This window comes from Homo sapiens, chromosome 3 (assembly GCF_000001405.40).
Source record: "Homo sapiens chromosome 3, GRCh38.p14 Primary Assembly".
NCBI classification, from domain to species: domain Eukaryota; kingdom Metazoa; phylum Chordata; class Mammalia; order Primates; family Hominidae; genus Homo; species Homo sapiens.
The window spans coordinates 164,709,541-164,729,240 of record NC_000003.12 but is presented as its reverse complement, the minus strand read 5'-3'; the positions used below and the strand labels follow the sequence as shown (position 1 = coordinate 164,729,240).

General features: G+C 35.9%; 1 long non-coding RNA gene across 1 annotated transcript in view; it reads left to right on the top strand.

Moving 5' to 3' along the window:
• Window positions 1-15,146, top strand: part of LINC01324 (long intergenic non-protein coding RNA 1324) — a 117,386-nt gene extending 102,240 nt beyond the window's left edge. The window contains exons 3-4 of the long non-coding RNA NR_126405.1: window positions 11,450-11,669; window positions 14,759-15,146. This is a non-coding gene — a long non-coding RNA (long intergenic non-protein coding RNA 1324). The remainder of the gene's footprint in view (window positions 1-11,449; window positions 11,670-14,758) is intronic.
• The last annotated feature ends 4,554 nt before the right edge of the window (window positions 15,147-19,700 follow it).

Genomic DNA, 19,700 nt, shown 5'->3' with positions numbered 1-19,700 from the left:
GCAAAAATAAACTCACTCAAATGCCATCAGTAAATGGATAAAGACATTGTGGTGGTATAAAGGAACAAGACTGAACAAACTAAGAGGTGATGAGAATAGAAAACAACAGGTACTTCTATTTTGCTTGTGTTTAGGTAAATTGGTCTTAACATTTTGCAAATTGATGGTATCTCCTAAAGAGGAAATACAGCTAACCTAAAACTCACATATTTTTCTGAGAAATCACTTATTAGAGTCAAAACCATTTACAAGAAGGTTCATTTCAGCTTTGTTCATAATTGTCAAATACTAGAAAAAAACCTTTTGGCTGAAATAGAGATGCACTGTTTGGGTTCAACTTCAACAACAAAAAAACTTGCTGCCTAATTTTTAGAATCTATCCTACATTTTGGGCTTATTTCATGGTCTTATCAGGATGGCCTGTGGCAATTGAGTGAGCAATGTGGTGGTATCTGAGGTCTTCTTTGAGCAGCTTTCAGCCAATGTATGAGCAAGGGAATAGTAGCTGAGGTCACCATCTTTTGGGAGCAACCCCCAATTAATGAATTACTAAGAGCCCATTCTACTGGGCAATTTTTGCTTTGAGTCTTCCCAGAAGGCTGGCTAAGATATTAATTAGTCTACCTTGCAATCCAGTGACTTTTCCTCCTATTTCTTACAGGTGTTATTCTCTAGTTCAGCTTTTGCACACCAAATTCTGTCTTAGCACGTGCTTTCCACAGAATTCCACAAGCACAACTCCATTCATCAATTAGTAAATGATAAATATATATATATATTCATATAATGGATCACTCCACAGCATAGAAAACAAACTACTAGTACAAAATCTGATAGATATTTTGTGGAGGAAAATCAGCCAAACACTAAAGAATATATAATATATGATTTCATTATATAAAGTTCAAGAAATTATAGACCTAATCAATGATGATAGAAATCAGAACAGTCATTACTGCTGGATTGGAGGTGAACTGGAAGGGGGCATGGCAGGAATTTCTAGGTCATTAAGATGTTCTGAATATTGACCTGGATAGTGGTGCTTGGGTGTATATTTATTTTAAAAATTAAATATTATAATTGAGATTCATGCACTTATGCACCTTACTAAATGCATTTTTTATCTCAGCTTATTCCTTCATATGCACTACACGAAATACAAACAATTTCATGTTAGTCCTTGTTCTATCTTGTCAGTCTATTTGGAGCAGCTGAAAACTTCTGGGAAATTCTCACAAACATACATTGAGGTGAAAAAATAAATTTGAGATTTCCATCTTCTACTGAACCTTAAACTCTGGTTTGAAATACCCTACTTTTAAAAATGATTTTGACAATTTTTTATAGTGTCTACTTAACACATTCTCCAGGTCTAAAATTTTCTTAAAATTGTGATCCCATCAGCCCTCTCTCACATTCTTTACCAGCATATAACCTCATCTTCCATTTCAAAGAGAAAATAGAATTGGATAGATTAGAACTTACCTACATTAACTAGAAGATAAAAAATCTTAAAAGATAGTTAAACAGTAGTGCATCAAAAACTCTTTAGCATATATTAATTCTATACTTCAAAATGAACTACCACCAACACATCTCCTCAAGATAAACAAAACTGAAAAAAATTGTGAGGGATAGATTTTTGTTTCTTGGTTTGTTCAATGAAACTTTAGAAACATTGTTTTAATACAATTATAATCATTATTAGAGTAATAGTGGAGCAAAAATAGAAAGTTACTATCATGAAAAAAGAGAATTTTAGGCAAAACTCATCATATTCACAGATTTAGGGAAACCTACAGGGATTAGGATTAGGGTTATGGTTAGGGAAACCTATCAGGTAAATATTAGCAAAATGTATCCAAAAATGTATAAAGCAAAAATAGTACACCATGATTAAATTGGATTTATTTCTGAAATGTAAGACTAGTCCAATCCTAAAAAATCTATTACTGTATGCAACAGACTGAATGTGTCTCCCCCAGATTTATGTGTTGAAATCCTAGCCCCAAATCCTATGGTATTAGGAGTTGAGGTCTTTGGGAGGGATTAGGTCATGAAGGCAGTAGCCTTCATAAATGGGATTGGTGCTATTATAAAATAGACGATAGAGACAAATCTTGGCCCCCTCTACCACGCGGGGTTACAGCAGGAAGTTGGCCCTCTATGAACCAGGAATTGGGTCACAATAGACATCAAACTTACAGTTGCCTTTATTATAAACTTCTAAGCCTCAAGAACTGTGAAAAATTCATTTCTGGTTGTTTTGGTTTTGTATTGAGATGAGGGTTTTGCTATGGTGCTCAGGCTGGTCACAAAAATCCTAGGCTCAATCTTCGTACCTCAGCTTCCTGAGTAGCTGGGACTATGGGCACAAGCCACCACACCTGGTAAATTTCTGTTATAAAAAACAGAACCACACAGTTTTATAGAACCCTGAGCTGACTAATGTGTAAAGGCTTTGGAATTGGATAATGGGTAGACACTGAAAGAGTTTTGAGATACATATATCATTTCTGTGTGCCCTTCACTCCACTGGCACCTCATGCCATTTCTGCATGCATCTACATTCTAGTAAATGAACTGCCAACGGTGATTTTGGTGAAGGCTGTGAAAGAAAAATGGTGAACTAGAGAGAAATTTTCTATCTCAGAGAGTACCAAGTAAATTCTGAACAAATTTTTGTGGAAAATAAGAAAGCTGTGACAAGTCCAACAGGGTAAATCAATCCCACTAGACCTTAAGTCTTGAGAATTATCATATTTGGCTCAATACCCTGACATTCAGCCGCATTGGAAAAGAAATCCTACCTTCTGGACCCACTAGAGTGTGGGTACTATCTACGGAACCACTAGAGGCCTCAGTATTGTCCCTGCAGTCTTTCCAGGCAAGCTGGAAATCTAGATTTCAAGAGATAGGACCTCCTGCAGAGCTGTGGGGTTGAGAGAGTCCAGGGGAGCCCAGGAGAGCTTCAGGGACCAAGCACATAGCTCTGTGGAAGTGAGGTCCAGGTAGAGAGGCCACTGGACCAAGCTTTGGGACTTGGGCTGCCAAAAGCATTACTGACCTAAAGCCTGCCTGGAAAGACTGCAGTGACAATACTGAGGCCCCAGTGTGTCTGCAGATAGTACCCACACTCTAGTGGGCCCAAAAGGTAGGATCTCCTTTCCAATGCAGCTGAATATCAGGGTATTGAGCCAAATATAATAATTCTCAAGACTTAAGGTCCAGTGGCATTGATTTACCCTGTTGGACTGGTCACAGCTTTCTTATTTTCCTATTTCTCTCTATCAGATTGGGAATGTCTATTCTGTATCTGTCTCATCATTATATTTTGGAAGCATATAATCCTTTGGTCTCACAGAATCATAGCTAGAGAGCAATTTGCTTCAGGATGGATGGTACTCTGAGTCTCACCCATATCTGATTTATATGTATTTAAATAAGATCATTGGACTTTGAACTTTTAAGTTTAAGCAGGAAAGACTAAAGTAATCAACTATTTTGAATCCATAAAATCTAATCCAAAATGTATAGCAGACAGGTGACTAATGAAGAAAAAGACAGCTGAATTTCTGTAAGAGAATGTTGTGGGATTTTCACTCACCAGCTTATTATCCCTCAATTTCCCGGTGGGTGCGTGTTCATGTGGATGGTGGCCTGCATTCCCAGTATAGTTTGCTGGAACCAGGGAGCTAATATAAACTTTATGCTTAAAATATTATGGCCATGTGTTTTGACCAGTCTTGTCGTTTCCTGAATGATAAAGAAGCTGGCCTTTGGTTTCCTGCCTCTCTTTTGTACTTCAGTGGGTATCAGGTATTAGCAGTGTGTCTGTTGAAAAATTCAGTGATGTACACTGTGCCTACTTGAGGAAGGGGATATTGGATAAAGCCAGCAGCAGACAGATTTAAAAGCCTAAGAAAGAGAAGCCTGAGGAGAAAGTTTCTTGAAGTAACAAGAGCCAAGAAGGAGCAACACATATGATGGGGCAAACAGAATACAATGTGTATGCCCAAGGCCAGATGCATAGTTTGAAAATGCCTGAGAGGATCTTAACCCTTCATCTTTGATGGATCTGTGGGCTCCACACAAACAGGTGGTGAAGGCTAAGGCAGAGTTGTATGAGGCTTGGCTTTAGTAAGGGAGTACCTCAGCTCAGAGGCAAGCTGCAAAGACTAAGAAAATAGTATTTATTGTTTATCTTTTATTTTGGCCCAGGCATTTAAGTAAATGTCTGTCCAATAACAATGTGACCACAGAGATAGCAGAACAGAGGCTCCAGTGACCACACACAAGGAATGCAGCTTTTGAAAAATGATTTGAAAAAGTCATGAAATAAATGGATGTCTCAAGTCTTTCTATCAACAACAGAATTCCCTTGGGAAGAAGAAGAATGTGATTTCTTGAGTTATCACATTATAATATCCAAAACACTAATTTTTCAGAAAATAATTACAAGATATTAAAAGGAACAGAAAATAGCCCATTCATATAATAAATTAAATTGATAGAAACTCCTTGAGGCTATCCAGGCATTGGACTGAATAGACAAGTATTTTAAATAAACTCTCCTAAATCTTAAATATACTTGAACACTTAAAGATGACCATGAATGAAGAACTGAAGGAAATGAGGAAAACAATGTGTGAGCAAAATTAGAGTACCAATATAAAATTGAAATGTGAAAAGAAATCAATTAAAAATTCTGAAGCTAAAAACTACAATAAGAAATTTTAAAAATCACTCAATGACAAATTGGAGCTGGCAGAAGAAAAATATCAACAAGCCTGGTGATATAATTTATGCAAAATGAAATACAGAAAATAAACAAAAATGAGCAGAACCTCATAAATTTGGGACATCATTAAGTGTACCAACAAATGGTACCACGTGGTTATTAGGAGAGGAGAAAAAGGAAGGAACAGAAAATACATTTTAAAAAAAGGCTAAAAAATCACAAATTTATTGAAAATATGAATTTGTAATTCCAAGAGCTCTATAAAATTGAAATTGAATAAATTCAAATAACTACCTACCCAGACACATTATAGTAAAAATGTTGAAACCCAAAAATAAAGACAAAATATTTAACATATCAAGAAATAAAGTGACTTGCTACATAGTAGTACAAGGGAACCTCATTAAAATCAAAACATAGTTTATTATCAGAAATGCAGAAGGTAGTAGAATGAAATATTAAAAACACTAAAAGAGGATTGGAGTTAAGATGATGGATAGGAGACAGGACTAGCTTGCAGCTCCTGCTCAGATGGACAGAGCAGCACGTGGAGACCCACACTGGGAACTTTTGCTTTAAGAACTACCACAGGAAAATACCAGGAAAGCCGAAATAATCCAGACTTTTGAAGGAACTGGATTGCCACTACAGGCTCCAAGAGATGACAAAAAAAAAACTGTGATTCTGCTTGCTTTCTCAATGGGAGGCTTATGGTCTGGGGAAAGTTCTCAGCCCTGGTCACCAGCTGTCTGGAAATAAACACGGCGCTGTTTGAGGGGCAAGGTGAGAGTGAGACGAGCCTTTAGGACTGTGGGCTGCATGGGAGCAGGCCTGTGACTGCTGGCTTTCCCCCACTTCCCTGGTGACCTTTGTGACTCAGCAGAGGCAGCCATAATCCCCCTGGGAACATAACTCCACTGGACTGGGAACCACATCCCATCCCCCACATCAGCCACGACAAGCCCAGATGGAGGAGAGGCTGAGCTCAGATATGCCTATCCCTGCCCTGGCCTGGGGTCTTTCTCTACTATCCCTGGCAGCCAAAGACAAAGTCATAATCTCTTGGGAGCTCTATGGCCCTGCACACTGCCTGAGAAACTTGCATACTTAACCAAGTGTCCCTGGACAAGTTTGTATCCTCCCTATAGAAGCACAGCTGATGTGCTTTTGAAAGTGCCACCTCCTGGCTGGAGGCCAGCCAACATACTAAACTGGAGGCACACTAAACAAATACACAATCAAGGACCCTCACAGAGTCCACTTCACTCCCCTGCTACATCCGTCAGAGCAGGTGCTGGTATCCACAGCTGCAAGACCTGAAGATGGACCACATCACAGGACTCTTTGCAGACACTTCCTAGTAGCAGCCGAGAGCCTGGCAGCTCCCCTAGGTGGCTAGACCCAGAAAAGCAACAACGATCACTACAGTTCAGCTCTCAGGAAGCCCCATTCCTAGGGGAAGTGGGAGAACTCTACATCAAGGGAGTACCCAATGGAATAAAAGAATCTGAACAGCAGCGCTTGAGTCCCAGATCCTTCCTCTGACATAGTCTACCCCAAGGAGAAGGAACCAGAAAAACAATTCTGGTAATAGGACAAAACAAGGTTCTTTAACACTCCCAAAAGAACATACCAGATCACCAGCAATAGATCCAAACCAAGATGAAATCTCTGAATTGCAGAAAAAGAATTCAGAAGGTCAATTATTAAGCTAATCAAGAAGGCACCAGAGAAAAGTAATGTCCAACTTAAAGAAATCAAAAACATGGTACAGGATATCAAAGGAAAATTATTCTGTGAAATAGATAGCATAAATAAAAAAAATCACAACTTCAGGAAATCAAGGATACACTTAGAAATGCAAAATACACTGGAAAGTCTCAGCAATAGAATCAAAAATCAGACAAAAGAACTTCAGAGCTCAAAGACAAGGCTTTGAAATTGACCCAATTTGTCAAAGACAAATAAAAAAGAATTATTTTTTAAAAAATGAACAAAGCCTCCAAGAATTTTAGACTATGTTAAATGTCCAAACCTAAGAATAATTGGTGTTCTCAAGGAAGAAGAAAAATCTAAGAGTTTGGAAAACATATTTGAGTATTTGAGAGAATAATGAGGAAAATGTGATATAAATACACACACACACACACAAACACACACACACACACACACACACATGCCATGGAATACTACTCAGCTATAAAAAGGAAAAAAAATGATTTCTTTCACAGCAACCTAGATGGAATTGGAGACTATTACTGTAAGTCAAGTAACTCAGGAATGGAAAACTAAACATAGTATGTTCTCATTCATATGTGGGAGCTAAGCTATGAGGATGCAAAGGTGTAAGAATGATACATTGGACTTTGGGGACTGGGGAGTAAGGATGGAGGGTGGCAAGGGATAAAAGACTACACATTAGGTACAGTGTTCACTGCTCGGGTGATGGGTGCATCAAAATCTCAGAAATCACCACTGAAGAACTTATTCATGTAACCAAACACCATCTGTTCCCCAAAAAACTATTGAAATAAAAAAATTAAATAAAAAAACTCCAAAAGAAAAAATATTCAAAAAGCTGCCAACTGAGAAGCTTACAGCCTGCAAAACTATCTTTCAAATATTAAAGTGAAATAAAAACATTCCCAGAGGAAAACATGGAGGGAAATGCTATCTGATCTGTGTTACAGGCAATACTTAAGCTAGTTCTTCAGGCTATAAAGACGTGACACAAAAGAGTAATTAAAATCCATATGAAAAAGTGAAAAGTATTGGTAAAGGTAATTATATAGATAATATGAAGCACAGTAAAATTACACATTTCTTTTCCTTTCTTCTCTTACGTAGTTTATAAAGAAACTGTATAATACAATATATATAAAATTATATTGTTGACCCTATAACTTATAAAAAGGTAAATATTTGAAAATGGGAGATGGTGAGAATGAGGTGGTTTACTAATAGGGTAATAAGGCTAAATAATAAATCAAATCCATATGGGAAAAATGAAGAAAAATTGAAATGGTAAATATGAAGTTTACTGTAAAATGTCTGTTAATAAATACTTGCTCTCCTTTATTATCTTAGCATTTTTAAAAAACAAGATTTTTTAAAACAATACTTATGACTATATATTTCTAGGTTTTTAATGGTAATGGTTTCAGAACTATGCACATATACTAAAAGTTTATTGAAACTGATACTTTAAACCTTTGATTTTTGTGATATATAAATTGTATCTCACAAAATCTTTTTTAAAAGAAAAACAGACAAGGCGATAGCTTGGAAGACTGATTTTCCCTGAGATAGGAAATAAATATCAGATATTTTAGAAATAGCAAAAGTCTAGAGAAAACAATTGACATATGGAAAATAAAATAAAAATAATTCACAGTTTAATTTTCTTGCTCCTCCAGGCTAATTTACTTTTCCCATTTTAGGATTCCTCTAAGTTGTATCATTAGAAGCAGAACATGGGGAAATTAAGTAAGTGAGGGAGACTTCCTGCTGTTCCTGTTGCAAGGAGGTTATTTTTTGTCTGGATTAAAATACTTTTAAATTTTGCTAAATGTGACTCAAATTTGCAGTCTCATGAGAAAATTTGAGAATTTTTTTTTGTGGGGGAGAGTAACCATAAGTCAAAATACCTACCAGATAGCTTAATTAAAAAGTGAAATTATCATTGCTGTCTTTGCTGTTACCGAATGTTAACCCTCTACCCTGGCCCTGGAACCTGCCATATGCGTGCAGACTTTTCAAAAATCCCATTCATCATGTCTACTTTGAAAGTGTAAAATTAGTTACATGAAACTACAGGAGGTTCCAATTAATATATGTGGACTATCCTAGTTTCAATTTCTTCCAATAAAAAGATATTTATTAGTATAAGAGTCCTGTCATATCTAACTAAAGGAAAAAAAAACAGAGCCAAATTACAATGCTATCTCAGTTGGTTAGTGAACACAAGCTTGTAGCTCCTGTTAGTGTTCTAACTTGTCATTCAGATGTTGCAGGTGAATACAGGGGTGTTCATTATATGTTCATTCTGTCTTTGTTGCTACTATAGCAAGTATTTATAAAAATGAAGCTATTTGACCCAACAATCTCATTTCTGTGTATATACCCAAAGGAATATAAATCATTCTATCATAAAGACATGCACATGTATGTTCATTGCAGCACCATTCCAAAAGCCAAGACATGGAATCAACCTAAATGCCCATCAAAGGTAGACTGGATAAAGAAAATGTGATACATGTACACCATGGAATAATATGCAACCATAAAAATGAATGAGATCATGTTCTCTTCAGGCACATGGATGGAGCTGGAGGCCATTATTCTTGGCAAACTAACGCAGGAACAGAAAACGAAATACCGCATGACCTCATTTTTAAGTGGGAGCTAAATGATGAGAACACATGGACATAAACAGGGGAACAACAGACAATGGGGCCTACCTGAGGGTGGAGAGTAACAGAGTGGGGGAGAGAAGCAGAATAAATCACTACTGGGTACTAGGTTTAGTACCTGGGTCATGAATGAAATAGTCTGTACAACAAACCCCCGCAACAAGAGTTTATGTATATAACAAACCTGCATGTGTACCCCTGAACCTAAAATAAAAGTGTTTAAAAAATAAAAAGGATAAATAAAAACTGTCTGTGGATATATGTCCTATGGTAAATTATGGTGTGGTTCAATTTTTACTATTTTCTTCATATTTTTATTGAAATAACTTTTAGGTTCAAATTTAAAAAGTGTGTATTTAAAGAGAAAAGAAAGAGCTAAGCCAGGAAAAGGACAATTGCTGTGAAAGTGATAAAATACATGATGTGTTTGTATATTTGTGAATTTCAGCTATATTCCTATTTTGTTTATATTTTAGCCTAGTAAAATAGAGCTTCTCAAATTGGTGTCTTCATGAATGTGTCCTAAAATAGATGCATGTAGAGATAGCTCTTATCTCTGATTACTTTTAACCTATTTTGTAGTGAGTTCTCTCTGTCTTAGATATTGTCAGCCAAGCAGATCTTTGAATTCAGACATAGACCATGGTATTGTAAAATAGCTGATATTTCATACCTCCTTTTTTCTTTCTCGGAGTTCTTTCTCTCAAGTACATAATACTAGTAGATACTTGATTAAGAAGAATTTTAATTAACCCTTTCAGTGCAGGGTTTAGCAGAAATACTGGGGGTATGAGGCAAAGTGTGTAATAATTCTTTAAATACTGAAAATGATGATAATAAAGTTTCTACTTAATAAAATATGCAAATTAGTTATTATTACCTCAATTTACAGATAAAAAAATGAATGTGCAATAAGTTTGCATAGTGAATAGAAGAAGATGCATTTCAATCTCACTGTTTTTCTAAATCCGCTTTGTCTTGCAGCTTCTAAAAGAGTTTTTGAATTATCATTGCTTCACCACAACAGATGCATGCACACACACACACACACAATATCACAATAATAGTTATTGGTCAACCATATTTTCTGTCTTAGTAGAATAATGCCCAGCAAGTTATTAATGTTTTGCATAGTAAGTGAAATAAAAGACTATTTTTACCTCTTATCCATATAAAATTTTTTACAAAAGACTATAAAAATATTATTGTATCCATATAGGTATGTATTTTTATATATGAATAAATATATATATATTTCTTTATATATATGCATTAGAGAGAGGGAGAGAGAAGTCAAGAAAAAGTTCTGATTAAATAAGAGACAGAAAACCTTTTATTATATACGTAAATTAATTCTTTGAGACAGTTTCTTCTGTTTCTCGTCTTTTTTAGCTTCCTCTATCTTTAAAATATATGCTCAGAAAATGACCTAGATTTTGTTACTGATCTCCTAGGAAATTTTATGTGACTATTTTTGAGTTGATCCAGTGTAGAACAATGCATGTGAAATAAATCCATAATTTTTAAAAGGAAATTTTAAAAAATGTCTTGGCCGGGCGTGGTGGCTCATGCCTGTAATCCCAGCACTTTGGGAGGCTGAGGCGAGCGGATCACCTGAGGTTGGGAATTCGAGACTAGCCTGACCAACACGGAGAAACCTCATCTCTAATAAAAATACAAAATTAGCCGGGTGTGGTGGTGCATGCCTGTAATCCCAGCTACTGGGGAGGCTCAGGTAGGAGAATTGCTTGAAGCCAGGAGGCGGACGTTGCAGTGAGCTGAGACCGCGCCATTGCACTCCAGCCTGGACAACAAGAGCGAAACTTCGTTTCAGAAAAAAAAAAAAAAAAATCTAAATTCAGTTGTCAAAGTAGCAGATGCGGCTAGGAGTGGAATACATTGTCTTCAACGCTATATATATATATTTTTTTAATCACCACCAGCAGCCTGAGGAAAATATTAGAGACAAATGAGAAGAAATGTTAGAGTAACAGACAAGAGTAACTGAAGAAAGTTAAGTAATTGTTTTGTTACCACATCGTTTGAATGTAAGAAATAAATCCATATAAATTTTTATATGGACTACATTTCTCAATGATTTATTGATAACTATTATGAATATGAAGCATAAGCAGCCAATATTTTCAAGTTAAATTTTAAAATAAATAAATGTCTGTTTTTGTCATCTAGAATAATTTCCCCTACATGATCAATTATCACATTCTGCTAATTTGCCAATCTACTATAAATGGTAAGACTAGAAAATATTTTGAGTGGAAATCTCTTCCATTTTCAGGTCTGAGTCATTCAAGTTATAGTCTATTTGAAGACGAGTTGAATCTGAAACAATGAGTAAGATGATGAGAGCTCGATACTTATGGTTTAAATATAAAAGGGGTATCCCAACTCAGAAAGAGAGAGGAGATCTGGAAAAATCCTGCTTTCTGAAGCTTTTGACGGTATTTTCATACTGCCTGACTAAAGTGCAACAGCTACATATTGACAGGCGGTGGAAGGTATATCTTTATTTACCCTTTATCCCCCTTTCAAATGCCTTTCCCTGTGGGCTCATGTCCTACTAGTATCTTTCTGACTTTTATGTCTTAGGGCTTGTACTCAGGCTATCCTTGACCAACCAACCCTTTTTGTTCAGAATTATTATTTTATCTTCTTCCAAAATTGGAAGATTTTCTGTTTCTTGGATATTTATATTCTATGCTAGAAGTTGTGATAAATTAATCCATCCTAAATGATGCTAAAGGGCTACTGTCAGATTATCTATCTATCTATCGATCTATAATTTTATCTCCCATCCAAACATTTATTCGTACATTTAGTGATATGGTATGTCTGCTGTGTGCCAGATACAAGATGGCTTCTAGGGATTAATTGCCTAAAAGATATCTAGCAAGATGTAAAAGACATATAAAAACAACAAATGGGAAAACTATCAAATGATTATTATAATAATATGTCTCAAAATGTTTTTTAAGATGTATTTGTTATTGAAGGACAAACAAATATGACTCAAAATGCTTTTTTATAAAGGTGTATTTGTAAAGGAAAGAAAATTTTTTTTCTGGAAAACACTTCCTATTTTCAGGAAAGTGCCATTTAACATATTTTAAAAAAGAAAAACTAAATAGAAGGAAAAGCAATGTTAAAAACTTATCAAGAATAAATAAATGGGATCTAAATATTGAGAGAAAGGATTCTCAAATTTGTGCTCCCAGAATCAGAGGCATCAGCATCACATAGCAGCTTGTTAGAAAGCACATTCTTGGACCCAGCCCAGAACTACTAAATGAGAAACTCTAGGAGTGGGGACCAGCAATCTGTGTTTAACATGCCTCTCACATGATTCTGAAGCATCCTTTAATAACTGAAGAGCAAGTCATTTTTTTTTAACTAACTATTTGGTATAGCTCCAATGTAGGTTATACAGGTATGAATTCAAAAGAGATTTGGGTTCTGCCCAGTAGAATATTGGAAAATATTTGATGACAAGCATAGAATTGAAGTGTTCATAAGAGTTCTAAGAAAATAACTCTTATAGTATCATCAACATTTAATAAAGTTGGTGGAGAGATACTTCATAAACCATGAGTGGTGTATGAATAAAGCTTTAGCATCATTAGTGGAAGAAGAGTGATGGAGAGGAGATACATATAAACATAATTGGAAATGTACAGTTTCTCAGAAAACTTGTATATCTTTCAACAGGATTTCTGGAGACAAGGCTCTACTGAAGAAAATTAAATACAGGGAATTGTAAGCACCATGGCATGTTGATGGAGATAAGGTTGATTGAAAGGGATTTGTGCTACTCTACAAAGTAAAACTTCTGTTTATAGCAATGTGTACTATGCAATATGAAGGAAAGACAGCAGAGTCACTGTCTTATGTTCTTTGTATTCTTTATGTATATTAAGCAAGTCTGTATGTGCCTAAACTCCAATTATGGGTTAGATTCAAGTTAGCTCCCAAATGGTTCATAGACTCCAGACCAGCTCTAGGCCTCTCGAATCCAGATTCCTGTGTGCCCTAGACAAAACATTGTAACAATTAACTGGTTTTATGGCAACATTTGAAAAATAAACTTCTAAACTTGCCTGCAGAATTCAAAGAAAGCTTTGGGAAAAAAAGCTGGCTTTTGAGTTCAATCTTTATTATTGTATAGATGTATACAGACAGAAAGGGGCTGTGGCTTTTTAAATTTATTTTTATTTTTATTTTTATTTTTTGAGACAGAGTCTCACTCTTTTGCCCAGGCTGGAGTGCAGTGGCTTGATCTCAGCTCACTGCAACCTCCGCCTCCCAGGTTCCAACGATTCTTCTGCCTCAGCCTTCAGAGTAGCCAGGATTACAGGAGCCCGCCACCATGCCCAGCTAATTTTTGTATTTTTAGTAGAGACAGGATTTCACCATATTGGCCAGCCTGGTCTCTAACTCCTGACCTTGTGATCTGCCCACCTCAACCTCCCAAAGTGCTGGGATTATAGGCATGAGCCACTGCACACGGCTGGGGCTGTGCCATTCTAGAAAGAGAAACTGTATGAATATACTCGCAAAATGGATGGGTCCATAGCTACTTAAAGAAAATAGTAATTAGATTAAGAAGTGCCCATGCTTATATTTTTGCCACCTAATTCTGGCCTCACTGTGTATCATTTTTCAGGAGGGATAAGATTGGAGGAAAGGGGAGCAATAAGCAAATGTTCTCAACACTCTAAGTAGAGAATGATGATTGATGATGGAGGGGAGTACCAGGGCAGATTGTGGAGCTAATGGATTGAAAATATTTGGATTGAAAACCTGGGACAATTAGCATCTTGTATTTAGCAAGTAGCAAGCAGCACTGAGAGGTCCCCTTTTCCACTATTAGTGGATTTACTAGCTCTCCTTAGAAGGCTCACTGCCACTCAAAAAAATACATTGCATAGATTTTTAAAAACCAATTTCAGTTAAACTTGAAGAGAAAAACAGTATTCTAATCCATGAGGATTTCACTTATTCTAAAACCACAACACACATACACACACACACACACGAACCTATTATTACACTTTTTTCTAGAAAACATGGTTTTTATTTGGCTTTATTTTGGCTCCAGCTCTCTTTGGGGTCCCCTACAGACTCCAACTGCAGGACTATGTTATTTAGTTGTCTTGTTATACCAGAAGAGCATTGGAAGAGAGGGCAAGCCAGGAGCTTGCAGAGGGTCTGCTTTATGCTCAGCTTTCTTCACTATCCCCCCTGGTTCCACCTTCCTGTCAATCATGAGATAACTTGAATATTGGAGATAAGTAGCAGAACTTAAAATCGAACCCAAATTTTTAAACTCCAAACATAATGCTCTTTCTGGGAAACATTCAGAGTGACACAATAGTAAATATTGCAAATATAACATGTCCGTATTAAGCGTAAAGAAAGTCAATTTTATGGATTGAATTGTGTCCATCACAAAAAGATAAAATTTGAGTCCTAAACCCCAGTACTAAGAATGTGACCATATTTTGAGATAGGTCATTATAGAGGTAATCAAATTAAAATGAGCTCTGCAGGGTAAATCTTAATCCAATGTGACTGGTGTCCTCATAAACAGGTGCAGTTTGGACACAGAGACTGACACACAGGAAGAATACCATGTGAAGACTGGAGTTTTGCATAGAGAAGCCAAGGAGCTACCAGAAGCTAGGAGAATGGCCTGGAACAGACCTTTCCTTAGTGCCTTCAGAGAGAGCATGGCGCTGCCAACATCTTGATCTCAGACTTCCAGCATCCTGAATTGTGAGATAAATTTCTGCTGTTTAAACCATATAATTTGTGATACTTTGCTATGGCAACTGTCACAGCTATTATAAGCACCTAACCCTTTTTTTAATCTTTTAAGAAACTTTTTGCTTTCATCTACTTTTTTTGTTCTGGTTATTCCATATTTTACTTTAAGATTTAGTCTTCTGTCAATAAAGCAATAATTTCAGATCAATTTCAATAAAAAATTAATAATGTCCAAACACTACTTTTCCAATATTGTGAGATAATTTTTGAGATATTAATTTGTATTTGCTTTCCTTCTACTTTCTTATTACAGAAATGTAGCCAGAATTTTTCTATTTTCTTGTCTCAAGTAAATGGGTGGCGTGGGAATTTAGAATTTATATAACCCAAGGCAACTAAAGACCTGTCTCTAACAGTCATTTGTGGTAGTCTCACCTCACTGAGAATATTATGTTTGAGGAAGCATAAGAGAAAGAGAGAGTGTATAGATTTCCTACAAGATGAGGATAATAAAGTTGTGCAGATTAGCAGGATTCTCATCTCCTTGAAGAACCCTGAGGAGGATAAAATCTCAGAATTGATTTTATTGTGCACCTGCATGGGTGAGGTAAAACCCAGACATATAGGTTTCCAGCCTTATCAAGATATCCGTGTGTGATAGGCAGAAATCTACAGAGGTCCCAGCAGATTCCTGTTCTCTGGTCATATAATTCAACACTAATCAATTTTTTTAATTTTTATGAATACATAATAGCTGTACATGTTAATGGGGTACATGTAAAATTCTGATACAAGCATACAAAGTTTAATAACCAAATATCCATCACCTAAAAAATTTATTACTTCTTTGTGTTATGAACATTCCAATTCCACTCTTCTAGTTATTTTGAAATATATAATAAATTATTGTTAATTATAATTCCTCTTTTGTGCTACTGAACAGTAGATATTATTCCTTCTATCTAATTATATTTTTTATCCATTAACCAACTCTCTCATTATTCCTAGTACTCTCCTCAGCCTCTGATAACTATCATTTTACTCTCTATGTCCATGAGATAAATTTTTTTAGCTCCCACACATGAGTGAAAACATACAATATTTGTCTTTCTGTGTCTGGCTTACTTCACTTGACATAATGTCTCCTAGTTCCATCTATTGTGCTGCAAATGACAGAATTTCATTCTTTATTATATATGCTATATTTTATTTATCCAGCTATTAATTCATTGATAGGCACTTAGGTTAATTCCATATTTTGGCTATTGTGAATAGTGCTGTAATAAACATGGGAATGCAGATATAGTTTTGATATATTGGTCTCTTTTGAATATATACCCAGTAGTGGAATTTCTGGATCATGTGGTAGATCTATATTTAGTTTTTTTGAGGAACTTTCATACTGTTCTTCATAGTGGCTGTACTCATTTATATTTCCACCAACAGTGTATGAATGATGGTATTCCTTTCTTCACATCCTTGCCAGCATGTATTTTTGACTGTCTTTTTTATAAAGTAGTTTTAACTGGGGCAAGATGGTATCTCACTGTTGTATTGATTTGAATTTTTCTGATGATTAGTCATGTTGAGTATTTTTTACATACACATGTTGGCCATTTTTATGTTTTTTGAGAAAAGTCTATTCAGATTTTTTTGCACATTTTAAATTGGATGATGATGATGATGATGACTTTGCTATTGAATGTTTTGCATCCCTTAAATATTCTGGTTATGAATCCCTTGTGAAATGGGTGGTTTGCAAATATGTTCTCCCATTCTATGGGTTGTGTCTTTACTTTGTTGATTTCTTTCTTGTGCAGAACCTTTTTAGTTTGATGTAATCCCATTTGTATACGTTGCTTTTGTTGCATGTACTTTTCGGTTAATGTCCAAAAAATCATTGCTCAGGTCAAGGCATGGAGCTTTGTCCCTATGCTCTTTTCTAGTAGTTCTAAAGTTTCAGATCTTATGTTTAAGTCTTTCATTCATCTTGCATTGATTTTTGTAAGTGATGTGTGATAAGAGGCTAATTTTATTCTTCTTCATGTGGCTATCCAGTTGTCTCAACAATATTCATTGAAGAGGCTTTCCTTTACCCATTGTGTATTCTTGGAATCTTTATCAAAAAATAATTGTCTTAGTCCGTTCTCATGCTGCTATGAAGAAATACCTGAGATTGGGTAATTTGTGAAGGAAAGATTTATTTTGTTTGCTTGTTTGTTTTTGAGATGGAGTTCTCCAGGCTGTAGTGCAATGACGTGAACTTGGCTCACTGCAACCTCTGCCTCCCAGGTTCAAGCAATTCTCCTGCCTCAGCCTCCCAAGTAGCTAGGATTACAGGTGCACACCAACACGCCTGGTTAATTTTTGTGTTTTTAGTAGAGATGGGGTTTCACCATGTTGGCCAGGCTGGTCTCAAACTCTTGATCTCAGATGATCCACCTGCCTCGGCCTCCCAAAGTGCTAAGATTACAGGCATGAGCCACCGCACCTGGCAGGAAAGAGGTTTTATTGACTCACAGTTCTGCATTGCTGGGAAATCCTCAGGAAACTTACCATTATGGCAGAAGGCAAAGGAGAAGCAGACACCTTCTTCACAGGGCAACAGGATGGAGAGAGTGCAAGCAGTGGAAATGCCAGATGCTTATAAAACCATGAGATCTCATGAGACTCATTATCACAAGGAAAACATGGGGGAAACAACCCCCATGATCCAATTACCTCTACCTGTTCCCACCCTTGACACATAGGGATTATGAGGATTACAATACAAGATGAGATTTAGAATGGGGATACAGCCAAACCATATCACTTGGATTTATTTCTACTCTCTCTATTGTGTTCCCTTGGTCTGTGTGTCTGTTTTCATGCCAGTATCATGTTCTTCTGATTATTATAACTTTGGAGTATATCTCAAAATAAGGTATTGTGATTCCTCCAGCTTTGTTCTTTTTGGTCAAGATTACTTTGGCTATTTGGGGACTTTCATGGTTCCATATACATTTTAGAATATTTTTTCTATTTATGCAATGACTGTTACTGGTATTTTGTATTTTGATTGAGATTGTATTGGATCTGTAAATTTCTTTGGTTAGTATTGTCATTTTAACAATGTTAATTCTTCCAGACAACATGCATGGAATATCTTTTGATGTTTTCATGCTTTTTAATATCTTTTATCAGTGTGTTACAGTTTTCCTAGAAGTATGCCTCTTTCTCTTCCTTGCTTAAATTGATTCTTAGGTATTATAATTGTAGATATTGTAATTGAGACTGCACTCTTGATTTACTTTTCAGATTGTTTACTGTTAGCATATGTAAATGCTACTAACTTTTGTATATTGATTTTGTGCCCTGTGACCCTACTGAATTTTTTTGTCAGTACTAAGAGGTTTTTGGTGGAGTCTTTAGGTTTCTCTAAGTATGAGATCATATTGTGGTATTTTGTTATGGCCTCAATGAGAAACTAGTAAATCATTCTGCAAGGGTGGCACAGAGGTGGAGTAGACACTACTCCAGGCACAAAGTGCCCTGGCAAAAAGAGCCATCATCGATGATTGCAACAGACTGGAAATTGGAGGTTAATTTACTATTTGGGGAGCATAACCTGAGCTTCCAAAATTTTTGTGCAAACTGAAGAATTAGGGGAGGGCTACAGTAAGTTCTGTGATTAAGCTGGACTTAATTTTAAACAAGGAAATATCATTTGTGTGCCTGAGTTTAATTATTCAGATATATTTCCACTTCCCCAGGATAAACTATATATTATATTTTCCAGTATATTTCATCCTCTGTGCTAATATTTCATATGCACAATATGTTTATATTTGTGTCATATGCTCTACAAGCCTCAGCTTATTCCATTACCCTCATTTCATTAGGTCTTCCAAGGTCTTTCAGAATAATACTCTATGTTCCAAACATCACCAATATATAAACCTTGTTTTGCTGGTATTTGTTAAATAAATTTAACTAATATATTTTTACTACCTATCGTATTAAACAAGTCCTTCTAGTTCTTTCATATAACCACATTTAATAGTATCATTCATCATAATAACAAAATAATTCATCTCTTGTGTATATCATGAAACTTAAGCTCAAATACTTAAGTTTGCCTAGGATGCTACCTTTAATAAAAAGCAAAGCAAGAATTCAAATTCATGTCTGCTTATCTCCTATTATAAGATAGAGCTACTTACTCAAGCATCAGTTGGTAAGTAACCGTTTAACAAGTAAATCCTATTGAAAAAATCACTGTAGACTGCCTAATGCGTTACCCTTCCCTGTGGTCTTTTTATTTCAATAAAGCATAAGTCCTTGAATCAAAGGAATGAAAATTCAAGAATAGAAAAGTTAATCTAAGGAGTTGAACGGAAGTTGGCCAGCAGTAGTACCATCCAAGCACTATTCCAGCTCTGATATCATGCTAAGTAAAAATTACATCTAGTGAAATTGATTTGAATTCATTTTTTGGCATCTTCTTCCCCCAAGCCAATAATGCTGCTTATGACTTGCGTTCATATTGTTGTTACTACACCTCCTACCATCACGGTTTCTCTACCACTCCCTCTTATTTATGCACCGTTAACTAGCTAGCCTTTATGCATAAGCAGAAGGAAGGTCAATCTAGGTGTGGATCTCAGCATCTCAGTGATAGAATGTTACATAATGGTCTGTCCCTCAAGCATTGGCCTTTGGATGAAGGCTTGTCTTAATGCTCTAAGATATCTGATGTGTGCCTTAATTATCATAGTTGTTTTCCT